Source organism: Homo sapiens, chromosome 3 (assembly GCF_000001405.40).
Source record: "Homo sapiens chromosome 3, GRCh38.p14 Primary Assembly".
NCBI lineage: Eukaryota > Metazoa > Chordata > Mammalia > Primates > Hominidae > Homo > Homo sapiens.
In genome coordinates this window covers 172,550,078-172,577,794 of record NC_000003.12, presented here as the reverse complement: position 1 = coordinate 172,577,794, position 27,717 = coordinate 172,550,078, and the positions used below count along the sequence as shown (strand labels likewise).

At 40.5% G+C, this 27,717-nt stretch overlaps 1 long non-coding RNA gene across 1 annotated transcript in view; it reads left to right on the top strand.

The window, feature by feature from the left end:
• The window catches only part of LINC02068 (long intergenic non-protein coding RNA 2068), a 34,707-nt gene extending 17,813 nt beyond the window's left edge, over positions 1-16,894 (top strand). The window contains exons 3-4 of the long non-coding RNA NR_146714.1: positions 3,455-3,522; positions 16,726-16,894. This is a non-coding gene — a long non-coding RNA (long intergenic non-protein coding RNA 2068). The remainder of the gene's footprint in view (positions 1-3,454; positions 3,523-16,725) is intronic.
• The last annotated feature ends 10,823 nt before the right edge of the window (positions 16,895-27,717 follow it).

Below are 27,717 nucleotides of genomic sequence, written 5' to 3'. Positions count from 1 at the left end.
AACACTTGAGAAGACCTTACGTTTGCACCTCAGGCTAATGCTCAGCACACAGATAGCCTACAACCACCCCACAAAAACCAACCCCAAAACAAAACTCGGCAAGTCCTGGGAAGGGAGAGAATCTGATTTTTAAAGTTATCACATTACTAGACCCAAATGTTCAGTTTTGAACAAAAAAATCACAAGGTATATGTATTGGTCCATTTTCATGCTGTTGATAAAGACATACCTGAGATTCAGCAATTTACGAAAGAAAGAGGCTTCTTAGACTTACAGTTCCAAATGGCTGGGGAGGCCTTACGATCATGGCGGAAGGCAAGGTGGAGCAAGTCACATCTTACGTGGAAGGCAGCAGGCAAAAAAATAACTTGTGCAGGGAAACTCCCGTTTTTAAAACCATGAGATCTTGTGAGTCCCATTCACTGTCAAAAGAACAGCACAGGAAAGACCCACCCCTGTTGATTCAGTCATCTCCCATCGGGTCCCTCTCATAACACATGGGAATTATGGGAGCTACAAGATGAGATTTGGGTGGAGACACAGAGCCAAACTGTATCAGTATACAAAGAAGCAGTAAAGCATGGACCATTCAAAGGAAAAAAAGAAATCAACAGAAACTTCCTTGAAAAGACCTGATGGCTGGTGAATCTACCAGACATAAAAACAACGGTCTTAAAGATGCTCAGAGAACTAGAGGAAGATGTAGAGAAGGTCAGGAAAACAACACATGAACAGGACGTATCCCATGACGCTCATCCAAATGAAACCATTTGGTGGGGTGCAACCCCAGAATCACGATGGGTGCCTTGTGTACAGGAGGCCAAACTTTATATAAGTATTGTACATTTAGCAGTGGGAACTACAATCCCTGGCCATGGTAAAGGTGCTAGAGGAATCCACAATTAAGTGCATGGCAACTTTCCATGTGACAGTGTTAGTTTTGAATCTCGCAGTGTCACCTGTCATTCTTGCCCACAACTGGAAATGACAGTGACCCCAGTGTCCCCAGTGTTCAAGAGACTCATAATAGTTTGTGTAGTACCCTTTTCCCCTGCCTCTCAAACTAGGGCACAGGCGTTCAGTTCCCACTGGTGGCCCCAAATCTTGGCCCCATCTTTAGTCTGTCTTCTCCAAAGATGTTAGCTCAGGATATAATGGTGGAAGTGGTTCCTTTTCAAGTAGTTTCTCTCTGGCACCCACCAATGCCTCTGCTGTTTTGAACCCTTCAAGTGTTGGTGGGAACACTCAGGGCAGAGAACCAGTCAGCAAAATCAACTCAGTCTAACAAGCATTCCTCTTGCGGTTCAATTGCTTGAACCAATCGTTTAACATTAAGATCTCAGGATTTGGGCTGGGCGCTAGTGGCTCATGCCTGTAATCCCAGAACTTTGGGATCTGCTGCACAGATCAACCCATCACCTAGGTATTAAGCCCAGCATCCATTAGCTATTCTCCCTGATGCCCTCCCTTCCCCATCCCCTGACAGGCCCCAGTGTGTGTTGTTCCCTGCCATGTGTCCATGTGTTCGCATTGTTCAGCTCCCACTTCAGGCCGAGGCGGGCGGATCACGAGGTCAGGAGATCGAGACCATCCTGGCTAACACGGTGAAACCCTGTCTTTAATAAAAATACAAAAAATTAGCCAGGCGTGGTGGCAGGCATCTGTAGCCCTAGCAACTCAGGAGGCTGAGGCAGGAGAATGGCATGAACCCAGGAGGCAGAGCTTGCAGTGAGCCAAGATTGTGCCACTGCACTCCAGCCTGGGTGACAGAGCGAGACTCCGTCTCAAAAAAAAAAAAATCTCAGGATTCATTACAGAAATGCAAAGCAAAATGACAATGAAATACCATCTCATGCCAGTCAGAATGGCGATTATTAAAAAATCAAGAAACAACAGATTTGGCAAGGTTGCAGAGAAAAAGGAATGCTTTTACACTGTTGGTAGGAGTGTAAATTCGTTCAACCATTTTGAAAAATGTGGTGATTCTTCAAAGATCTAGAGGCAAAAATACCATTTGACCCAGCAATCCCATTATTGGGTATATACCCAAAGGAATATAAATAATTCTATTAATATTATAAAGATATATGCACATGTATGTTTATTGCAACACTATTCACAATAGCAAAGACATAGATTCAACACAAATGCCCATCAATGATAGACTAGTTAAAGAAACTATGGTGCATATACATCATGGAATACTATGCAGCCATAAAAAGGAATAGGATCATGTCCTTTGCAGGGACATGAATGGAGCTGGAAACCGTTATTCTCAGCAAACTAATGCAGGAACAGAAAGCCAAACACCACCTGTACTCACTTATAAGTAGGAGCTGAACAATGTGAATACATGGACACATGGCAGGGAACAACACACAATGGGGCCTGTCGGGGTAGGGAAGGGAGGGCATCAGGGAGAATAGCTAATGGATGCTGGGCTTAATACCTAGATAATGGGTCGATCTGTGCGGCAAACCACCATGGCACACGTTTACCTATGTGACAAACCTGCACATCCTGCACATGTACCCCTGAACTTAAAATAAAAGTTGAAGAAGAAAAAAAGAGGAACGTGATAACCTTCAAAAAAGTCTCAAGATCCATAAATGCTTGAGGGGATGGGTACCACATCTTTCATGATGAGATTATTATGCATTGCATGCCTATATCAAAACATCCCACATACCCCATAAATATGTACGCCTACTATGTACCCACAACAATTAAAATAAAAAAATATAAAAAACAAAGAAAAAGAGAAAAAAATAAAATAAAAATTTAAAATAAAAACAAAAGATTTCAGTTTCCTCCCTCAGCTCATACTGATCCCTCAGTTGTTCAATAGGGATCCCATCTGTCTCTTCCTTAGCCACCATGCTTAAGCAGCCACCATGCTTAACAGCCATAGCCACACGACTCTTCCCTTGGGTCCAGGGCAGCCTGAGGCCTTCCTTTTCTGTGGCTCCTTTTATCTTTTAGTGGGCTCCTGATGGTGGTTTGGAGCTCCATTTGCTATGTGATGAGGGAGTAGCCACCACTCACCACTGTGGCTGTGTTTTTGGCAGCGCCCCACATGGGCACATTATGGTACAGTTTTCCAACGATGTCCCCCGTAGTCATTCCTAGGGAGACTAAGAGGGTTAATGGAGCCCACCTGTTGGATGCCCCCATTTTATTAAGTCGTGTATTTGCTGTCAAGCAGTGGTACATCATCTAAATCCCCTTCTGGATTGATAGAGCCATAGAGGAGGCTCCTGGGGCTCTCACCAAGTCAAAGGGTGCTTGAAAGTCTTTCTAGAATTGTTTCAATTTAGGAAGATCACCAGGTTTCAAGCAGATTGGTTTGTCACCAGATTGGTTTGTCACCTGTCCAATCCTGAGGAGTTGGCCTATTCAATGTGGGCAAAGATCCATTATAACAATTAATCCCATCCTCTCTCATCTGGTCCAGGCTTCACTCATTACAGGAGAAGAGAGTCTGGGTTGCTCCCTCATCAATCAAGTGCAGAGTCCAGGAAGGTATGAATTCGCTGGGCTTTTGGTCATATTGCTGTTTCTTCTTATCCAGCTCAATCTCAGAGAAACTTCTTATTTTAACTTGGGCAACATTGGCAATGCTGTCATTAATGTACTGCTAGGTAAAGACTGGGGGTAACTGGTCAGGGGGTGGTTTAGACCAAGGTGGCCCCAGGCTGGCAGCACAAAGGCAGCGACTCAGTAACCAGGAGATTGTTTGGTTTTGGACTTTCCCACCTCCTTAATTTTTGCCCACATCCCTCTAGTTAATTCATCAAGGTTCTCAGGGCTATTCTCACTATCCCATTTACCTCTGTTGGCAGATCAAAATGTATCTAGGCCTTATTGAGAGCTTTATCACCTTCAATATCTCCAGGAGCCAGCACCACCCTGGATGGGGTCTCACTTCCACTATGCCATGAAAAGGTGTCTTCTCAGAGACCCTGCTCACTGTACCAAATATGTTTCACCCTCCACTGGATGGTCAGGCTGTGTGCAGGGTAAACTATAACATGAATGTGGCCAAGGTTAAAAGTCAAATAAATGCTGTCCAGGGAAGGACCAGTGCATGACTTGAGGTCTCTGAGAACAGACAATATGCATATCAAGCTCAACTGGTACATTGTTTACTTACAGCAAGAGGAGAAGAGGGAATGCATAAATCCAGCCCCTTGCAGTGTGTCAGTCTCCATGGCTAATGGATTCACCCTGCAGCCAATGTAGGCAGTGCGGCTAACAATTTGTGAACTATTTTAGAGTTTGGAATACCAAAGGCACAGATGACCTCAAACTGTAGTTTTCTTTTCACTGACCTTGAAATATCTAAGGAAAATAATGGAAAATGCTCTTCTTGCCTAGATGAATTTATGGGTGTGTGTGTGTGTGGGTGTGTCTGTGTGTGTTGCCTGTGTGTGTAGTTGAGAGAGATAGAGATGAGGCTTACTACCAAATACTCAAGACCTCATTGAGAACTTTAAGAAAAAAAGTCTTAAGAAGCCTCCTTAATTACCTGTAAAACCTCTCTGGAAAATGACCTCAAGATACCCTTTGATGTCTCTCCCTACCACACTCCTTTGACAGGGGCATAAATTCCCTAGTCAATTAGGCTTCCCTCCTCTTCTGCCCATGAAATCCCCTAAAACTCCCTGCGCTGAATCCTCATGAACCTCCCCATTCACTATCCCAGAAGATGCCAGGATCCCATCAATCATGTTGCCTCATAATAAGATTGAGTCCTCAAGGCACTATCTCTAACACCCCAAAAACCTTAGGGGGGCCCACTCAATATCAATATCTGGGGCTCAGTATCCAGGACATTTGATCTCCATAGCTGGAAATTGGAAATAGGTCAACATGAAGTAGCTGTGTCCTCAGAGTAAGGCTAGATTGCAAAAGGCAGAGGATAAAGTAATTGCTTGTATATATTTATTTATTTATTTATTTATTTTATTATTGTTTTTAAGAGACAGAGTCTTGCTGTGTCACCAAAGCTGGAGTGCAGTGGCCTGATTATAACTCACTGCAGCCTGGAATTCCTGGGCTCAAGAGATCCTCCTTCCTGCCTCAGCCTCCTAAAGTGTTAGGATTATAGGCATGAGCCACCATACTGGCCGATTGCTTATATTTGAATGAAAGCATCTGAACCTAGCAGGAAACACTGACACTGAAATTTAAATAAGTATAACTGGTAACAGGCTTTGTCTTTATATGTGAGGTAATCTTTGTTTTATAGATTTAAAAATATTTTTCACAGAAGCTTAAATATTAATATTGATATATTTTAAGATTATTGAATAGTAGAAGGTATAATTTGCTTGCCTAGCTCATGCATGTAAATCTTACATATGCCATTCATTTAGTTACTGATGAGGGATCAATTGGTGCTTAAATGAAACACAAAGAATTGTGGAGATTCAGTAGCTGACTTTTTTTCCCTCCTATCTTCTATGGGACTTTAGCCCTCCTCTGAAGAAAGACTAGAAGCTTCTAAAACCTGAGAACAGTCATTTGTAAGAATATTACCAACCTCAAATTAAAAAGAAATAGAAACAATCATATATTAGATACTCATTTCTATAGAACACAGAAATGAAGACTAGTAAGTGACTTTAGACCAAAATAAGTTGACCATATATCTATAGTAGCCTGCATTCTAAGGACAGAAAGGAAAAAAAAAATAGAAAACCTTGGACTTCATCCTATCATCTCATTGTTTGTACTAATTGTTTTATTTTTTCAGAACTATTTTATTTTTATTGTTATGTAAAACAAATAAGCATAATGTTTCTTTTGTTAAAAATCAAGATTTTCAGTATAAGAGAAATGGAAGTACAATCATAGAAAACAAGGAAGAACACAATAACATAACTGAATTAGAAATATTTATATAAACTCACGACTTTAAGAGAAAAAATATATATTCTAGAACTATCTACTAAATAGTTTACTAATGATAGAATTGCAGATGGGACACACTGTGTATGCTTTTTACTCATAATAACGTTTATAATGTTATCATTCCACAAAAACAAACCAGAGCTTCTTGGAAAAATAGCCAATTCCATTTCTGGGTCTAGGACAGTTCAAGACACATAAGACAGGTAAGCTTTCAAAGATAACTTTGCAGAAGCCATAATAAAAAGTCTCCCAGGAAAGAAAAGCCCAGGACCTGATGGTTCCACTGCTGAATTCTACCAAACATTTTAAGAAGACCTAATACCAATCCTACTCAAGCTATTCTGAAAAAATAGAAGAGGAAGGAACACTTCTAAACCCATTCTGTGAGACCAGTATTACCTTCGTACCAAAACCAGAAAAAAAAACACATCAAGAAAAGGAAATTACAAGCCAATATCTCTGATGAACATTGATGCAAAAATCCTCAACAAAATAATAGCAAATCAAATTCAACAATACATTAGAAAGATTATTCATCATCACCAAGTGCAGCTCATCCCAGGGATGCAAGGATGGTTCAATATACACAAATCAATCAATGTAATACATCATATCAACAGAATGAAGGATAAAAGCCATATGATCATTTCAACTGATGCTGAAGAAACATTTGATGAAATTCAACATCCCTTCATTATAAAAACCCTCAAAAAATTGTGTATAGAAGGAACATCCCTCAACATAATAAAAGCCATATATGATAGACCCTCAGCTAGTATCATTCTGAAGAGGGAAAAGCTGAAAGCCTTTCCTCTAAGATCTGGAACACGATAAGGATGCTCGCTTTCTCCACTGTTATTCAACACAGTACTGGAAGTCCTAGTTAGAGCAATCAGACAGGAGAAAGAAATAAAGGGCATCCAAATTGGAAAGGAAGAAGTCAAATTATTCTGTTTGCAGATGATATGATCTTATATTTTGAAAAGCCTAAAGATAACACAAAAAGGCCAGGTGCGGTGGAGGCTCATGCCTGTAATCCAGCACTTTGGGAGGCCGAGGGGGGCAGATCATAAGGTCAGGAGATTGAGACCATCCTGACTAACACCGTGAAACCCCGTCTCTACTAAAAAATACAAAAAAATTAGCCGGGCATGGTGGTGGGCACCTGTGGTCCCAGCTACTCGCGAGGCTGAGCTAGGAGAATGGCGTGAACCCGGGAGGCGGAGCTTGCAGTGAGCCGAGATGGCGCCACTGCACTCCAGCTTGGGCGACAGAGCGAGACTCCGTCTGAAAAAAAAAAAAAGTATTAGAACCGATAAACAAATTCAGTAAATTTGCAGGATACAAAAGCAACTTATGAAAATCAGTAGCATTTATATATGCCAACAGTGAACAATTTGGAAAAGAAATTTAAAAAGTAATCTCATTGACAATACTCACAAATAAAATTAAAATTAAATACCTAGAAATTTGCTTAGCCAAAGAAGTGGAAGGTCTCTATGATGAAAACTGTAAAATACTAATGTGGAAATTGAAGAAATTACCAAAAAATGAAAAAATGTTCCATGTTCATGGATTGGAAGAATCAACATTGTTAAAATGTCCATACTGTCCAGAGCAATGTACAGATTTAATGCAATCCCTATCAAAATACCAATGGCATTCTTCATAGAAATAGAAAAAACTATTCTAAAATTTGTACAAAACCATAAGAGACCCAGAATAACCAAAGCTATCTGTATTAGTTCATTCTTGCACTGCTGTAAAGAAAGACCTGAGACTTGGTAATTTATAAAGTAAATAAGTTAAATTGGCTCATGGTTCTGCAGGCTATACAGGAAGCATAGAGGCTTCTTGGGAGAGCTCAGGAAAGTTTCAGTCATGGTGGAAGGTGAAGAGGAATCAAACATGTCTTATATGGCTGAAGCAGGAAAAAGTGAGGGAGGTGCTACACACTTTTAAACAACCGTATTTCGAGAGAACTCATTCACTATCATGAGAACAGCAAGGGGGAAATCTGCCCCCATGACCCACTCACCTCTTGCTATACTTCACCTCCAACACTGGGATCACAGTTCAACCTGAGACCTGGGTGCAGATACAGATTCAAACCATATCACTATCCCAAGCAAAAATAACAAAACTGAAGAAATCACCATACTTTACTTGAAATTATACTACAGAGCTACAGTAACCAAAACAAGCATGGTATTGGCATAAAAACAGACACATAGATCAATGAAACAGAATCAATAACCTAGAAGCAAATCCACACAGCTACTGTGAACTCATTTTTAACAAAGGTGCCAAGAACGTACACTGGGGAAAAGACTGTTTCTTCAATGAATGGTGCTTGGAAAACTGGATAACCATATGCAGAAGAGTGAAACTAGACCCCTATCTCTCGCCACATACAAAAATCAATTCAAAATGGATTAAAGACTTAAATCTAAGACCTCAAACTATGAAGCTACTACAAGAAAACACTGGGGGAAATCTCCATGACATTGGTCTGGGCAAAGATTTATTGAGCAATACTCCACAAGCACATGCAATCAAAGCAAAAATGAACAAGTGAGATCACACCAAGTTAAAAAGCTTCTGCACAGCAAAGGAAACAATGAACAAAGTAAACAGACAACCTACAGAATGGGAGAGAATATTTGCAAACTACCACTCTGACAAAGGATTAATAACCAGAATACATAAGGAACTCAAACAACTCTATAGGAAAAAAATCCAATAATCCAATCAAAAAATGGGCAAAAGATTTGAATAGACATTACTTAGAAGACTCATGAATGGCAAACAGGAATATGAAAAGGTGCTCAGCATTATTGATCACCAGAGAAATTCAAATCAAAACTACAGTGAGATATCATCTCACTGTAAGTTAAAATGGCTTGTAGCCAAAAGACACGCAGTAACAAACGCTAGTGAGGATGTGGAGAAAAGGGAACCCTCATGCAATGTTGGTGGGAATGTAAATTAGTACAACCACTATGGAGAACAGTTTGGAGGTTCCTCAAAAAACTAAATAGAGCTATCATAACATAGCAATAACAACAATAGAGCAATCCCATTGCTAGGTATATACTCAAAAGAAAGGAAATCAGTATGTTGAAGAGATCTCTGCACTCCCATGTTTGTTGCAGCACAGTTCACAATAATTAAGATTTGGAAGCAGCCTAAGAGTCTATCAACAGATGAATGGGTAAAGAAAATGTAAAAGGAAGTGAAAGATCTATACAGGGAGAACTACAAACCACTGCTCAAAGAAATTAGAGGTAAAACTGACAGATGGAAAAGGAAGAATAGGAAGAAGCAATATTGTTAAGATGGCCATACTGCCCAAAGCAATTTATAGATTCAATGCTATTCCCATTAAACGACCATTGACATTCTTCACAGAACTAGAAAATCTATTTTAAAATTCATATAAAACAAAAAATGGCCTGATTAGCCAAGGCAATACTAAGCAAAAAGAACAAAGCTGGACACATCATGCTACCTGACTTCAAACTATACTACAGGGCTACAGTAACCAAAACAGCATGGCAGCATGGTACTAGTACAAGAACAGACACATAGACCAAGGGAATAGAATAGATAACAAAGAAATAAGGCTGCACACCTACAACCATCAGATCTCCGACAAAGCTGACAAAACAAGCAATGGGGAAAGGACACACTATTCAATAAATGGTGCTGGGATAACTTGATAGCCATATGCAGAAAATTGGAACTGGGCCCCTTCCTTACACTATGTACAAAAATCAACTCAAGATGGATTGAAGACTTAAATGTAAAACCCAAAATTGTAAAAACTCTGGAAGATAACCTAAACAATACCATCCAGGACATAGGCATGGGAAAAGATTTCATGATGAAGATGCCAAAAACAATTGCAACAAAAGCAAAAATGGGCAAATGGGATCTAATTAAGCTTAAGAGCTCTGCATAGCAAAAGAAACTATCAACAGGGCAAACAGACAACCTACAGAATGAGAGAAAATTTTTGCAAACTATGCATCTGAGAAAGGTCTAACATCCAGCATCTATAAGGAACTTAAATTTACAAGAAAAAAAACCCTCAATAACAAGTGGGCAAGGGACATAAACAGACACTTCTCAAAAGAAGACATACATGTGGCCAAAAAGGCATATGAAGAAAAATTCAACATCGCTGAACATTAGAGAAATGCAAATCACAACTATAATGAGATACCATCACACACCAGTCAGAATGGCTATTATTAAAAAGTCAAAAAATAATGGATGCTGGCAAGGTTGTGGAGAAAAAGGAATGCTTATACTCTGTTGGTGGGAGTATAAATTAGTTCAATCATTGTGGAAGACAGTGTGGTGATTCCTCAAAAACATAAAGTTAGAAATACCATTTGACCCAGCAATTCCATTACTGGGTATATACCCAAAGAAATATAAATTGTTGGCTGGGAGTGGTGGCTCACTCCTGTAATCCCAGCACTTTGGGAGGCCAAGGCAGGTGTATCACCTGAGGTCGGGAGTTCAAGACCAGCCTGACCAACATGGAGAAACCCCATCTCTACTAAAAATACAAAATTAGCCGGGCATGGTGGCACATGCCTGTAATCCCAGATACTTGGGAGACTGAGGCAGGAGAATCACTTGAACCTGGGAGGCGGAGGTTGCAGTGAGATGAGATCACAACATTGCACTCCAGCCTGGGCAACAGAGTGAGATTCTGTCTCAAAAAATAATTATAAATTGTTCTACTATAAAGATACACGAATGAGTGTATGTTCATTGCAGCACCATTCACAATAGCAAAGACATAGAATCATCCCAAATGCCCATCAGTGATAGACCAAATAAAGAAAATGTGGTACATGTAGACAATGGAATACTATGCAGCCATAAAAAGGGATGAACTCATGCTCTTCGCAGGAACATGGATGGAGCTGGAGGCCATTATCTTTAGCAAACTAACACAGGAACAGAAAACCAAATACTGCATGTTCTCACTTATAAATGGAAACTAAATGATGACAACACATGGACCCACATAGAGGGGAACAATACACACTGGGGCCTATCAGAGGGTGGAGGGTGGGAGAAGGGAGAGGATCAGGAAAAATAACTAATGGATACTAGACTTAATTCCAGAGTGATGAAATAATCTGTACAACAAATCCTTATGACACACATTTACCTATGTAACAAACCTGCACATCCTGCACATATACCCCTGAACTTAAAAGTTAAAAGAAAATGTAGTACATATTCACAATGGAGTACTGTTCCATCACAAAAAAGAATGAGATCTTGTCATTTGCAGCAGCATGAACGGACTGGAGATTATTATGTTAAGTGAAATAAGCCAGGCACAAAAAGACAAACATTTCATGTTCTTGCTTACTTGTGGGATCTAAAAATCAAAACAATTGAACTCACAGACATAGAAGAAGGATGCTTACCAGAGGCTCAGAGGGTAGTTGGGACTTGGGGGTGGGGTGGGGGAGATGGGTATGGTTAATGGGTCCAAAACATAGTTAGAGTCAATGAATAAGATCTACTATTTGATAGCACAACAGGACCACTATAGTCAATAATAACTGTACATTTAAAAATAAGGAAAAGAGTGTAACTGGGTTGATTGTAATACAAAGGATAAATGCTTGAGGGGATGGATACCCCATTCTCCATGATGTGCTTATTACACATTGCATACCTGTATCAAAACATCTCATGTACCCCATAAGTATATACACCTACTGTGTACCCACAAAAATTTAAAAATTAAGAATTTAAAAATATTAAAAATAGGCTGGGTGCGGTGGCTTAAGCCTGTAATCCCAGAACTTTGGGATGCCGAGGCAGGTGGATCACAAGGTCAGGAGATCGAGACCATCCTGGCTAACACAGGGAAACCCCGTCTCTACTAAAAATACAAAAAATTAGCTGCGCGTGGTGGTGGGTGCCTGTGGCCCCAGCTACTCGGGAGGCTGAGGCAGGAGAATGAAATGAACCCGGGAGGTGGAGCTTGCATTGAGCGGAGACCGCACCACTGCACTCCAGCCTGGGTGACAGAGCGAGACTCCGTCTCAAAAATAAAATAAAATAAAATAAAAATAAAAAGATAAATTTGCATATAGGCACCTTAAGAAGGTTTTTAAAAAATTTTTACACAGACTGGGTGCAGTGGCTCATGCCTGTAATCCCAGCACTTTGGGAGGCTGAGGTGGGCAGATCATGAGGTCAGGAGTTCAGACCAGCCTGACCAACAGGCGAAACCCCGTCTCTACTAGAAATATAAAAATTAGCTGGGCATGGAGGCGCATGCCTGTAACATGAATGTTTTATTTGCCTTAATTTATACATTCTATATTTACCATGAGCACAATAGTTATAAAGAGGCCCGGCCAGGCACGGTGGCTCAAACTTGTAATCTCAGCACTTTGGGAGGCTGAGGTGGGTAGATCACCTGAGGTCAGGAGTTCGAGACCAGCCTGGCCAACATGGTGAAAACCCCGTCTCTACTAAAAATGCAAACATTAGCTGGGCATGGTGGTGCACGCCTGTAATCCCAGCTACTCAGGCAGGAGAATCGCTTGAACCCGGGAGGTGGAGGTTGCAGTGAGCCGAGATTGTGCACTTGCACTCCAGTGCAACAAGAGCAAAACTCCATCTCAAAAAAAAAAGAAAAATTTACACAATTTCTGTCTTACAGAGAAGTTGCAAGATTATTACTAAGAATTCCTGAGTGCTCTCCATCTGGAATTACCCAAATATTAACATTTTACTGCGTTGCTTGCTTTTTTTTTTCTTTCTCAATACATTTTCTGAATTCTTTGAGAATAAGTTGCAGGCATGGTACCCTTTAGTACTTAAATACTTTAGTATATTCTTTAATATAACCATGCAACAATAATCAAATCAAGACATTAACATTGATCTAATTCTACTATCTGATATACAGACCTTATTCAGATCTAGCCAATTATTCCAATAATGGTCTTTATAACAGATGAAAGTCTTGGATCAGGCACTACATTCAGCTGTCACGGCCTTTTAGTCTCCATTATTCTCAAACATTTCCTCAGTCTTACCGTGTTTCATGATATGGACATTTTTGAAGAGTACAGATGACTCATTTACTAGAATGTCCCTCAATTTGGGGTTGTCAGACCGTTAAATTGAGGTTATACAACCTTTGTCAGGAATATCATTCAAGTGTTGTGCTCTGCTCAGTGCAGCGTGCTAGGAGGCACATGATGTTGATTCGTACCTTTGCTGGTGTTGCTGACTTTGGCCAATTGTCTAAGGTGGTGTGGTAGAGGTTCACTTCTGTATATTTCTTCTTAATATTTTAATTTGCTTTGTTGGGTCTTACAACAACAACAAAAAACAAATTCACATTTGCTAGGAGCTAAAGGTAAAAAATTAGAAAGCATTCCAGCAGGGATTACGTTTAAGAAAGTATTGTACAAACTAGAAAAGCCTTTAAATGAATGCAAAAAGTATTATTCTTATTTTTAGCAATGATTTTTCTTTTAACATTTCCTAGTAAAAAAAATGATTTAAGGTGAAAAAGTAAGTCTGTCTGCTTTTTCATCTGAATTTTGTCAGATAAAATAACCAAATGAAAAGAGAATCAATCCAAAGCCTGTATTTCCTCATAAAGAATAGTCTATTGTTCTCAGTCTTGTGATCTCCAATCATTCACTTACACCTTGAAAAAAATTACTTATAGTCTCTGAGTTTTAATTTCTTCTTCTATGAGAGAGACAGAGAGAGAAAGAGAGGAAAAAAAGAGAAAGAGAGAGGAGAGAGAGGACACTCAGGTTGCAGAATAGTTGAGAAGAATAGATATAAAATACAATGCACTTAGCATAACGCTTAGCAAGGTTAAGGTGAAAAGAAGGCAAATTACTGTGAAAGTAGCGCCCATCAGTACTTCGTGTGAGTCTCCATGAGGCAGGTAGATAAATATTTATTATTATCTGCATTTTATATGTGGCAATCATCTCCAAGATCACATAAATCAAACCAGTTATGAGGGTGGTACCTGCTTTGGGGTTGCCTTTTTATTGTTTTTTCTTCTACATTATGGCTATAACCTTGTGCTTTCTGCCTGAAGAATTCACTTCACATTTAAACGTATATACAGTTTTGTTTACATTTCTCATAGGTTCAATTCAGGTCAAAATGTGACCACACAAAAGGTAATAAGAGCCTCTATTTAATATCAGTTAAATCATCTGTTCTTTTATCTTCTGGGTTGAAAAATAAGTTCCCAATAGCAAGAAAGGTGACCTGAGTTCAACTGCAAAACAAAGTCATATATCAGTGCTGTAGGCACCAGCAATAAACATTTCTTTAATTTGAATTCAGGGGCATTCTCACCATCAGACTAGTACAATCAAAACAACATTGCTTTTCTACCGAGTAACCTTCACTTTGACCAGTGACCGTACAAACATGTATGATTCATTTCACTGAAAATATATCACCTTGAAAACCTCCCTGAGTGGCCAATAAGTTCATTTCTGTGACACTTAGTTTTCTGATTGCACCTTAACTTTTACCAAACTGTTTCTCAGATCTAGATCTTTGCCTTTTGAATACACTTGCCAAAGTATGAAGTAAAAGTTATTTTCTTTGGTTGTTTATTCTTTGGTTAGGTATTACATAATCCAGAAACCACAGAAAAACAGAACATTGTTAAAGTTAAACAGCTTAAGTTGCCTAATAACTTGCGAAAAGCCAAATTAATAGGAAAGAATGCCAATAGGAAGCTCTCAAGGCAGCTCCTATTCCTGGAATTTTCCGTCTCAGGAAATCCAGGCGTAGGATAGTAAAACCACTCAGACGTAATCACCCTGCCTTATTCCTCAGATGAGTTTCTCTCTCTCTCTCTCTCTCTGTCTCTTTTCTCTCTCTCCCCCACTCTCCCACTCCGCCCTTTTACTGTTTCCTGACTCATTTCCTCACACTTTTTGTGGAAACAAGTTAACATTAATTTTAAAAGTGAAAGCTGGATGCCTATGAATCTTAAAACAACTTTTGAGAAAAAAAAAAAACCTCTTTGTCCTTCTTCTTACATATAAATGCAGGTAATATTATGGGGTCTTTGCTTGCTTTACTTCTTTAGCAAGACAGGACCATTGTTATTAGGATTCTGCACTAAGCCATACTGACTTGATGTTCATCATCAAGGCCAGCTGTGGCTCCATTTATTTTATTTTATTTTTTATTATTTTTTGAGATAGAGTTTTGCTCTTGTCGCCCAGGCTGTAGTGCAGTGGTGCGATCTCGGCTCACTGCAACTTCCGCCTTCCAGGTTCAAGTGATTCAGCCTTCCAAGTAGCTGGGATTACAGATGTTCGCCACCACGCCCGGCTAATTTTTGTATTTTTATAGACATGGGATTTCACCATGTTGGCCAGACTGGTCTGGAACTCCTGACCTCAGGTGATCCACCAGCCTTGGCCTTCCAAAGTGCTGAGATTACAGGCGTGAGCCACTGCGCCCAGCCTCAATTTTAAAATGGGTAAAGTTGAGCTTCATTTCCTCCTTCTCAAAAATGTTTTCCATTTGCCCCTGATGACTCTTGAGTTTCAGGTTCTGTAGATCTTTTCAGTCAATGGTAAAAACACTTTGACAAACTCACTCATTCATACCAGATATTGGCGACCTTATATATAAGTGTTCCCAGAGCACTGCCACTTTCAGAGACTATATTAAAATACAATCATGTGCCGCTTAACAATGATGGGGATGTGTTCTGAGAAATGTGTCATTAGGTGATGTTGTCATTGTGTAAATATCGGATTGTGCTTACACAAACCTAGATGTTATAGCCTTCCAGACCCAGGCTATAGTTTATTGCTCCTAGGCCACAAACCTGTACAGCATGTTACTGTACTAAATACTGCTGGCTATTGTAATACAATGTTAAGTTACAGTAAAAATATGATACAAAAGATAAAAATGCTATGCTTGTATATGGAGCTTGCAGAACTAGAAGTTGCTGTGGGAGAGTCAATGATTGAGTGAGTGAATGTGAAGGCCTTAGGACATTGCTCTACACTACTGTAGACGTTATAAACACTGTACACTTAGGCTACACTAAATCTATTAAACTTTTTTTTTTTTGAGACAGAGTCTTGTTTTGTTGCCCAGGCTGGAGTGCAGTGGCACAATCTCGGCTCACTGCAACCTCCACCTCCTGGGCTCAAGCAATTCTCCTGCCTCAGCCTCCTGAGTAGCTGGGATTACAGGTGCGCGCTACCACGCCCGGCTAATTTTTTATATTTTTGGTAGGGACGGGGGTTTCATCATGTCGGCCAGGCTGGTCTCGATCTCGTGACCTCGTGATCCACCCGCCTCAGCCTCCCACAGCTCTGGGATTACAGAAGTGAGCCATTGTGCCCGGCCACATTTTTTCTTTCTTCAATAATAAATTAAACTTAGCTTCCTGTAACATTTTTAGTTTAAAAATATTTTAATTTTTTTTAAACTTTGTGATTCCTTTGTAATAACACTTAGTCTAAAACACATTGTCTAACTGTACAAACATATTTTCTTTCTTTATATTCTTAGTCTATACGTTTTTCTCTATTTTTAACAATTTTTATTTTTAGTTTTTAAACTTTTCATTAAAAACAAAGACACAAACACACATACTAGCCCAGGTCTACACAGGGTCAGGATCATCAATATCACTGTCTTCCATCTCTATGTCTTACCTCGCAGGGAGACGGGGGCAGTAACATGCATGATCACCAGTATCACTGTCTTCCATCTCTATGTCTTACCTCGCAGGGAGAGGCGGGCAGTAACGTGCATGGAGCTGTCACCTCCTATGACAACAACACCTTCTGGAATACCTCCTGAAGGACACGCCTGAGGATGTTTTACAGTTAACTTTTTAAAAAATACATAAGTAGAAAGAGAACACTCTAAAATAAAAATAAAAGGTATAGTATAATAAACACAATAACAAAGTCACTTATTACTATCAAGCATTGTATGCTGTACATAATTGTATGTGCTATGCTTTTATATGACTAACAGTGCAATAGATTTGTTTACACCACCATCACTAAGGGCATGCAAGTAATGTGTTGTGCTACAACATACTACAACTATGATGCCACTAGGTAACAGAAAATGTTCAGCTCCATTATAATCTTATGGGACCACCTTCCTAGATGCAGTCTGTCATTGATGGAAACGTTGTTACACAGCACATGACTATAGACTAATAGCCATAGATTTATAATATGGGAGGATGTACTATATATGCATTGAAAAGAGCTCTGGAAGGATACCAATACATTACCAGAGGTTGCTTCTGGGCCTTAGGGTATGTGTGGTTTTATATTTTCTCCTTTGCACTTTTCTGTGTCGTATCCAAAATTTCAACAACATAATACATTTACTGTTAGGAAAAATAACCTATTAATTAAAAACAAGATACAGGAAAGAGGGAAATGTTGCAGCTAGCCACAAGGTTAATAACTTATTTTAAAACATGTTAGGAACTATTTATTCATTTGTTTGATTATTCATTCAAGAAATATTTTTGATTGCCTAATATGTGCTAGGAATTTGGCTATGCTCTGAGGCTAACAGGTGAACAAAGCAGTGATTTATTTGCTCTTCTTTGCATTGGTCGCTATAGGAGGAGGCCAATAGATGCTATCGCATGAAAATAATAATTGTTGCTGGGCGTGGTGGCTCACACCTATAATCCCAGCACTTTGGGAGGCCGAGGTGGGTGGATCACCTGAGGTCAGGAGTTCAAGAGCAGCTGGCCAACATGGTGAAACCCTCATCTCTACTAAAAATACAAAAAGTAGTTGGGCGTGGTGGTGCACACCTATAATCCCAGCTACTCAGGAGGCTGAAGCAGGAGTATCACTGCAACCCAGGAGGTGGAAGTTGCAGTGAGCCGAGATCACACCACTGCACTCCAGCCTGGGTGACAGAATGAGACTCCGTCTCAAAAACAAACAAACAAAAGCAAAATGAAAATAATAATTTTTTTTTTGAGACTGAGTTTTGCTCTTGTTGCCCAGGCGAGATCTCGGCTCACTGCAACCTCCGCCTCCCAGGTTCAAGCAGTTCTCCTGCCTCAGCCTCCCAAGTAGCTGGGACTACAGGCGTGTGCCACCATGCCCGGCTAAGTTTTGTATTTTTCGTAGAGACAGGATTTCACCATTGTTGGCCAGGATGGTCTCGATCTCTTGACCTCGTGATCCACTCGCCTCAGCCTCCCAAAATGCTGGGGGGTTTACTTTATTTTAAAATAAAAACTCCTAACCTCTTAAGTTAAATAAAATGTTTTAATATATAAACATTCATTTTTATGCCAACATAGTCATAAAATATTACCTAATTTTTTTTTTTAATAGAGGAAGGGGCCTGCAAAGCAAAGGTGTCAGGCCCATGAAAGTCAGAGTAGAGCCCTGGCTGTGGCCCCAAGGAAAGGCAGTTTTTTAGTTTGCGTCCCACATGCTGGCAGTTTTCAAAGTCTGACTGCAATATTTAGAAGAGAGAACTCTGCAGAGAGATGGCCTCTTTGGGTTTCCCCACAGCAAAACAAAACACTTCATGAAAAACACCCTCATAAATTGGTCCTCACTTCAAATCACAGGATAGTTGCATAACTTGTGTCCCCATTGTGGACAGCTGCTTCCAGCTCAGGGAGATGGCATGATTCTCTGAGGAGTTGGAGTAGTTTGGGTGATGCATGGCGTGTGCATATTCTCTTACTGTAAAAAGAGAAGCAAACCTATAATGATGATAATTTGACACAGTGGGTAGAAAGGGGTGGGCAGGATCTGAGGATCGTTCTGTCAGGGACCAACCGGTCATCAAAGAAATTGTTAAGTTAGCACAGATTAGAATAATTGATGCTAACATTATCTCTGGATGGACTATTCTACCTCATGACTCTCATGAAAATGGGGTGGATGGCGGGGCGTGGTGGCCCATGCCTGTAATCTCAGCACTTTGGGAGGCTGAGGCAGATGGATCATCCAAGGTCAGGAGTTCGATACTAGCCTGGTCAACATAGTGAAACCTCATCTCTACTAAAAATACAAAAAATTAGCTGGATGTGGTGGCGTGTGCCTGTAGTCCCAGTACTTGGGAGGCTGAGGCAGGAGAATTGCTTGAACCCGGGAGGCGGAGGTTGCAGTGAGCCGAGATCGTGCCACTTCACTCCAGCCTAGGTGACAGAAAGGGACTCCATTTCAAAAAAAAAAAAAAAAAAAAGAAGTGGATGTCAAAGTCATCTGGGGAGCATTTACAAGGTGAAGGCATCCACAAGAGTCTAATTCCCCACCCTCCAACCCTCACCCCATCCAGGGAAGTTTCCATACCTTCCTCTTAAAAATCACTGCCATAGTAAGCTCCTGTTACTGAAGAAAACATATTATATTTCTCAATGTGATGAACTGGGGGAAAGATTGATAACTGCTGATGTGGAAGACAAAGGAATACTGAGAGACGGGGAGCCAACACCTTCCTATTATTTACCATGGCCAGGTGCTGTAGTGCTTTACGTATTTAACTCATTTAGTCTTCACAATAATCCTGCAAGGGGGTTAGTGTTACTAACCCCATTTTCTAGATAGAGAAACTGAGGCACAGAGCGGTTAGGTAACTTGATTGAGGCCACATAGACAATAAGTGACAGTGCTGGGAGACAAGCCCAGAGCCTGGCTCTGGAGTTTGTGCTATGACTAGTTACTGAGTGGAGAAATCAATCATCAAAACGACACCCACGTATTTTACAATGCCTGTGCACATGAACTAGCTAGAAAATCTGTATATTTTACTAATAATGTCATGTGTTCTTTTCCCGACCCTTTGTTTTATAAAACCCTAGGGAGGCATCCTTCCATTATCATTGAATAGGAATTCTGGAATCCTGTGTACACCCAGCCATTTATCTGGAGGTATCTGGCAAAGGACTATTTTGTTAAAAAAAACAAAAAAAATAACTAGCCAAAGTATGAAGTAACAAAATTTGTACTTTGAGATGCCACATGTATTGAAACAAGTCTGGATTTATTTATATCTTTAATCATTTTCTCTCATGTTTCAACATGTTTTTGGTCTCTCTAGTAGGTTATGAAATCCAGTTCAAATAGATTTCTCAACAGTTGGTTCTGAACATAGATGCTCAGGGGAATATCAAGAACTTTCTCTAATTCACCACTCATGTCCAACATGAAAAGGTGTTAGAAAGCTACTGCTTTGTTCTTGTTATTTTCTGGTTTCCTATTTCTCAGCTGTGAACTTGAGTAGGTCTGTATTGGGACCAACCTCTTCCTTCTTCAGCCATCACTGCCTGCCCCAAGTGCAGCTCCCAAGCTGGCCTTGACCACTCAGCCTTTGCATGCTTTCTCCTTGCCCTTCCCCTAACCCTAATGAGGATTTTACCTCTCAGGGAAAATGCCTGTCCTTTTTAAATGTTTCCTCTGTGAAAGGCATTTCAGCCATCTGGGAAACACAAGGAATGCTCTTTGCTAAAGGCATACCTCCCAGTCAACTGTTTAAACTTTATTTAAGGGTGGACAATAAATTGCTTTATGTCCCTGATTATCTGCCCAATTGCAAATGAAAATGGACCCATGACAAGAGTTGTAGAAGGTCGTGAGAGGAAGCAAAGTCTTTTTTTTCTCCAGAGCTATAATGGTGCAGGAATACTCTGCCAATTCTCTCTCTCTCTCTTTTTTTTTTTTTGAGAAGGAGTTTCACTCTTGTTGCCCAGGCTGGAGTGCAATGACGCGATCTCGGCTCAGTGCAACCTCTGCCTTCTGGGTTCAAGCGATTCTCCTGTCTCAACCTCCCGAGTAGCTGGGATTACAGGTGCATGCCACCACACTCAGCTAATTTGTGTATTTTTAGTAGAGACGGAGCTTCATCATATTGGTCAGGCTGCTCTCGAACTCCTGGGCTCAGGTGATCCGCCCATCTCGGACTTCCAAAGTGCTGGGATTACAGGCGTAAGCCACCACACCCGGCCCAATTCTCCTTACTGAGGTGTGTGTATGTAGTATTTAGTTTATTTTTATGATTGCAAAAATAATACAGAATTGCCATCTCTATTCGGAAAACAAAGAAAGGCACGAAGATGAATATAAAGTAATCTACAGTCCCACAGCCAGAGATAATGCATGTTAATCATGTCAATATGTAGATATTAACTCGTATCCACCAAGTCATTAAAAGGACATGTTCTATTCACTGTTTTGTTATATGATTTTTAAAAAATCTAATTACTGGCTGGGCGCGATGGCTCAAGCCTGTAATCCCAGCACTTTGGGAGGCCAAGGCGGGCAGATTATGAGGTCAAGAGATCGAGACCATCCTGGCTAACAGGGTGAAACCCCGTCTTTACTAAAAATACAAAAAATTAGCCAGGCGTGGTGGCTGGCGCCTGTAGTCCCAGCTACTTGGGAGACTGAGGCAGGAGAATGGCGTGAACCTGGGAGGCGGAGCTTGCAGTGAGCCGAGATTGTGTCACTGCACTCCAGCCTGGGTGAGAGAGCAAGACTCTGTCTTAAAAAAAAAAAATCTAATTACTGTATTTTGATTTTTTCATATCATTAAATATTCTTCTATCAATACCACATACCAAACATCATGTCACTTTATTGATGTATCTGGCCCCTAAATTAAATTTAACATATTTAGTGTATATATTTAGGTTGAACTACTTTTAATAGCTATTTTTCTAGTTTAAAGTAGTTGAGTATCACCGATTTCAGTGTTTCAACCTGATATTTTCCTGTTACTAGATTTTTAGGTTACTTCCAAATTTTCTTTTATAAACATTGATGCACTGAACATTTTCCCCATAAATCTCTTTGCAAAACTGTGATTATTTTCTTAGGATACATTCCTGGCAGTGGAATTGCTGGGCCAAGGGGGATGAATATTTTTATGGCTTTTGATACACAATGCCAACTTTCCTTCTCGATAATGCTGATTTATAATCTCTTTGGTATCTTCTCTGCTGCTTTTTTTTTTAAAGACTCAATTATTCTGTTCAGTTAAACTTTGTATTAATTACCATGAAAACATGTGACTATTGGTTATCTTTCAGCACAGTCTTCCATTTTATACTTTATCAAATAATATTTTTATGTGCGCAGAGCCCTCATAAATCCTTATTTAATGTAGATTTGAGGATAAATATTGCTTAGATCCAATCACCACGTAGAGTGGTGATGTACTAAAGGAGAGGGAGACATGGTGTGGGTACACGTGTGCACGTAGATGAGTGTGTATATAAGTATACATTAGGGAACTCTGACAGTCACTCTTCTACAGGTAACAATTGATTGGGTCTAAAGGAAAAATTTTATCTATTTATTTATTTATTTTTTGAGATGGAGTCTCACTCTGTCGCCCATGCTGCAGTGCAGGGGCGCGATCTTGGCTCATTGCAACCTCTGCCTCCCGGGTTCATGAGATTCTCCTGCCTCAGCCTCCCAAGCTGGGATTACAGGTGGCTGCCACCATGCCTGGCTAATTTTTGTATTTTTAGTAGAGATGGGGTTTCACTATATTGGTCAGGCCAGCCTCAAACTCCTGACCTCAAGTGATCAACCCGCCTCGGCCTCCCAAAGTGCTGGGATTATAGACATGAGCCACTGCGCCTGGCCTGTTACCTTTAGTCTCAGATTAAACTACCTAACTTTGAAAGAAAAGCTTGCAATAGGAGATTTACAACCTGATAGAAAACATATGCTGATAATTTGCATGTACATTAAATGGACAACTTGCACATTATTGAGTTATTATACATTATTGGGCTTATTAATTCATATTAAGAAATTACAGGCAACATAATCCTTCTCTTTTCCTAGAATAAGTAATATAATAGATTTTTTAAAAATGAAAATATGTTAAAATCTCTGTACCTCTTCCCTACCACGCTGTGCATTTGGAAATATGAAATAACAGATAAGTGACAGCTCTGATTATCAAAGCAGGAGCAGAATTTACAACTTAAAGTTTCATAAAACAACACTGAAATAATAATTTTCAAATCAGCAAAGATGTTTCAAAACTACACTTGTAAGATTTGTTCTCTTATGCAAGTGTTAGTGAGAGTGTGAATTAGTAAAACCTTTCTGAAAACAACTTGGCAATATGCTTTAATAAACTTAAATTTTTTTATCTTTTAATTTAGTAGTTTAAAAGAGCAATTAGATATGGAGGAAAAGATTTGTGAACAAGTGAAACATTCACAATACATTGATTGTAGTATCATTTGGAAGCAATCCAAGTGTTGTTACAGGAATGGATTAAAAAGTCATATTGTATGATAGAATATGATGTGGTCATAAAAACGCTGTCTCTAATGAGTTTTCTTTTATAAAATGGAAAATGAAATTGTTAAATTTCATTTAGGTTAAATTGTAGGTAAAGCAGGATATATAATACATATATATAATACATATATTGTATACACATAAATATTTTCTCACATTATCAATTCCTAATCACAAGTTTATTAATACAGAATCGAATAAATAGAAAAAAGTCTTAAAGGAAATATACCAAAAAAATCCAAATACAAAAAAATCCGTGGGCAGTGTGATTGTTGATAATTATTGCTTTTGGTTTTACATTTTTCTGCCTGTTCTGATTCCCCTAAAATGAAGACATATTAACTTTTATAAAATGAGAGTTGTTGTGAAAGGAAAAAAAGAAGAATGAAAGGAGGGAGGAAAGAAGGAAGGAAGAATGACAGAGACAGAGGGAAAGAATGAGGAGGAAAAAAGAAGGAAAAATGGATTTCATAATGTTTTGGAAGTAAATTGTCCTGTCTGATAAAGAAAATATTATTCTGGAAAAGAAGAAAACAAGAACATTTTGACTGGACTGCTGAATGCCTGTACAGATACGATTATTTCTCTTTTTCAAACTGTTTCATAGCAGGAGAAAGAAAGGCAGGAGACTGACAGAATGAGATCTAGTAGTTCACCCTAGATGGACTTGGTCCATGGAGCTCACAAACAAAAGATAATGGAGGTAAATAAGGTGCCAGGGTTGTTTAGTAACCTCTGTAACTGTGGAAATCAGCTACCTGGGACATAGTTCAAGTCCCTCTCTCTTTCTCAGTGGGGCCCTTACCTAACCGCTCAGGTTATGTGAATGCTTGTCACATGGATTCGTTTGACGCTCGGCTTACTCTCTATTAGCCTGGTATTGGTCTTTCTAGGGGCCATGGTTTATATCTTTCTGCGTCTGTTACCTTGCACTATGTACCATGCCACATGTTTGATTAATGCTAACAAAAGGGTATATATTAGCCTGAGTTCTGGGTTGCAAAAGTGGAAACTGACTCCAGATAACTTAATAAGAGAAGGAATTATTGCAAGAGCCTTGGGCTGCTGACAGAATTGGAAAGAAAACCAGAGATCCGGACTCAGCAGGATGCAATGGAGGCCCAGGAGGGCTGATATGGTTTGGACGTTTGTCTCCTTCAAATCTCATGCTGAAACATAACCCTAGTGCTGGAGGTGGGGCCTGGAGGGAGGGATGGAATCATGGGGGTGGATCCCTCATGAATGGCTTAGCACCTTCCCCTTAGCGATGAGTGAGTTCTTGCTCTGAGTTCAGGTGAGATCTGGTTGTTTAAAAGAACGTGGCACATCCCCCTTCTCTCTCTTGCTCCTGCTCTCGCCCTGTGATTTGCTGGTGTCCTCTTCACCTTCCGCCATGATTGTAAGCTTCCTGAGGCCCTCACTAGAGGTGGATTCTGGCACTCTGTTTCATGAGCAGAGTGCAGAACCATGAGCCAATTAAACCTCTTTTCTTTATAAATTACCCAGCTTCAGGTATTTCTTTGTAGCAATGCAAGAACTGACTAACAAATACAAGAACTGAGCCCTTGTCACAGGAATGGCCTAGCAGGACATCATCATTACTGCTGTCACCATGCTTACCTACTGCCAGCCAACTCTGTTCTCACTGTTGCTGTACTGAAGAACTCTTCCAGCTCTGAGCAAGGAGATCTTGCTTCTGTGGTTGCAGCTACAGTGACTGATAGCTGACTGAGTCTATCTTAAGAGTCCAGAACTGGTAGGGGCATCTGCTCAGCCACTCTAGCTGTTAGGGGCAGAGGCAATGTAATATCCATCTTTCTTGGCTTCTGTAGCAGGAGTTAAGACTGACCTCTCACTAATGTTGGAAATCCCCTCAATTAAGAAGGGTGTTTGGATGGTGGGCAACCAAAATGTCAAATATTCATTATGAACAGTGTTGATGATGAAACAAAGACCATAGCTTTACTTTTGTAAAATAATATTGTCTGATTTAACACAATTTTAAAAACACAGGCCAAGGTGTGGTGTCTGGATCATCAGAGTATTAGAAAGATACTGGAGAGAGAACATCCTCCCGATGGGCAGAGCTCCAGTACTGCACGTGATCATGAACTTTGTGTGAAAACAAAGGTGGTGTGAATTAAGGATATGCACTGACTGCCTGGGAATATCAAGTGGCTTAGCTGGTTACAGGGAACCTGGAAGAAGCAAGATTGTAAAGTCAAGATTAAAGAGGTCCAGAGAAGACGCATGTGGATGGATCCGAGGGAGGATGAGGATTTTTCTGTCATGTGTTAATACCTCCCCACCCCCAGAGAGCACCCCTCACAGAAGGGGCACTAAATAAGCATGTGGATAGGAGGGCTCAGCCTGCAAATGTCCACCAGCAGTGGCCTCAGCCACCCCAGTGCTTGTGCAATGGGCTCAGAATGGAGTAGCCATGGTGACAGAGAGGGAGGCTATGCATGTGCTCAGTTGCATGGGCTCTCTTTTGTCAAAGCCCACTGCTGCTGAATGTCCAGCCTGTCAGCACAGAGATGAATGCTGAGCCCTTGGCATGGCACCATTCCTCAAACAGGCCCACCAGCCACTTGGTCACAATTTGATTAGATCAGATCCCTTCAACTTTAGAAAGGGCAATGTTTCTTCCTGACTGGGTAATGATTTGCCTTTCTTGCCTATAGTATCTCAGTCAGCCCACCACCCAAAGGCTCATCTACCAAACTGGGATCACATATAATATTGCCTCAGACCAAGGGACCCTTGCTATGGCCCAGGAGATGAATTGGTGGAAACATGGCAGTGAGATCCACCAACCCTATCACATACTGCACCATCCGCAAGATGCTGACCACTACCAGAGTGAAAGTGAAGTTGCAGCTGTGGCACCAGCTTGGAGGTAACACCACATGATGATGGGCACTAGACTTCAAGGTGCAGTACTGCCTCAAACCAATGGCCAGTGTATGATGCTGAACTCAATAGGTAGAGTACAGAGTCCGGGAAACAACAGGCAGAGGTAGGAGAAGCCCCACTTAACATCACTTTCAATGACCCTTTGGGGCATTTATACTTCCTATCCCTGCAACTTTAGTCTCTGTGGATCTGAATATTCTGGTTCCCAAAAGGTTGTCAATTATACTGTGCACACAGTAAAACATCATTATATTTAAAGCTAGAGCTGTCCCCTGGTGATTTTAGGTTGCTTGTGCCAATACACCAACAGGCACAAAAAAGAGTCAGCATACTATTAGGACTAACTGCATCTGATGATCATGAGAAGGTAGATCTGATACTATGTAATGGGGTAGAGAGGAAAATATTAGGCTCTCAGGTGATCCACTGGGGCATCTATTAGCACTCCCATACTCAGTTTTAGCTGTAGATGGGCAAACACAGCAACCACAGCCTGTTTAGGTCATGGTAACCAGCGGCTCAGACCACTTCACAGATGAAGGCCTGGGTGACTGAACTAGGCAAGTTAAGTAGACCAGTATAAATACACATAGTAATCTAAAACAAGTGGAAGAAGAGGAGGAAAATGAAGAGGTGGGGGAGGAGGAGGAGGATTGAGCATCAGTTCCCACCCCAGGACCAACTTCAGCGGCAGGGACTATAATTCATCCCGCCAAATCTTTTCTTATAAACGTCCCCAGAAACTGGGCCTAACAGGAACCCTGAAGAATATATGCCTAGATAGAGAGAACTTAGTGTAAGAAGCAAGTAGATCTGACCAGTACACGAGGAGGATACAGTGGGTGCTACTGATGCCTCACACAGATACCGCCTACTGAGCAGGTCTGAGTCATGACCCAGCTGTTGTGTGGCTGCTCCTTCTCCAGAGAACTGTCTTTGAGCAGCAAGAACTACCTCAAGAATTTATGCCCTCCCTCCACCCCCAACCTTGCCACCCACAGGAGCAGGAATGACTGACTAACCTAGTAGTGCAAGAGCCAGCCCCAGTGTGCAATAAACAATAAGGTGCAATTCATGCTCCAGAGCTGCCCAGGGGATGGGGCTGAAGCTAGGCTCCAGCTGAGGCCTCATCCTTGCTTAGCTTTCTCCCTGCTCCTTAGAGCGACCCCCTCAATAAATCACTTGCACAGGAATCCCCATCTCAGAGTCTGCTTCTAGGGGATCCCAAACAGTCACTATTAAATATTTTATATAAAAATATTTTCATCTTAATTTCAAGGAGTTCGATGTCTCTGGCGGCATTTTAATTGTACTCCTGTAAAAAGATCCTTTTCACCAATTAAAACTGATATATTTGGGCCATTTTTGTGCCGTTTCTAAGGATTCCCAGGGTGCGATTTGTGAAAAGCAAGTGTCTCAAAATAATCTAGGACTCAGAAAAAAAAAAAGTAAAATTGTGTTAAATGGTTTGAGAAATGCTGAATTAAACATCTTATTCTTGAAAATTCACATGCATATTAGCCATTAAAGACTGTGAGGC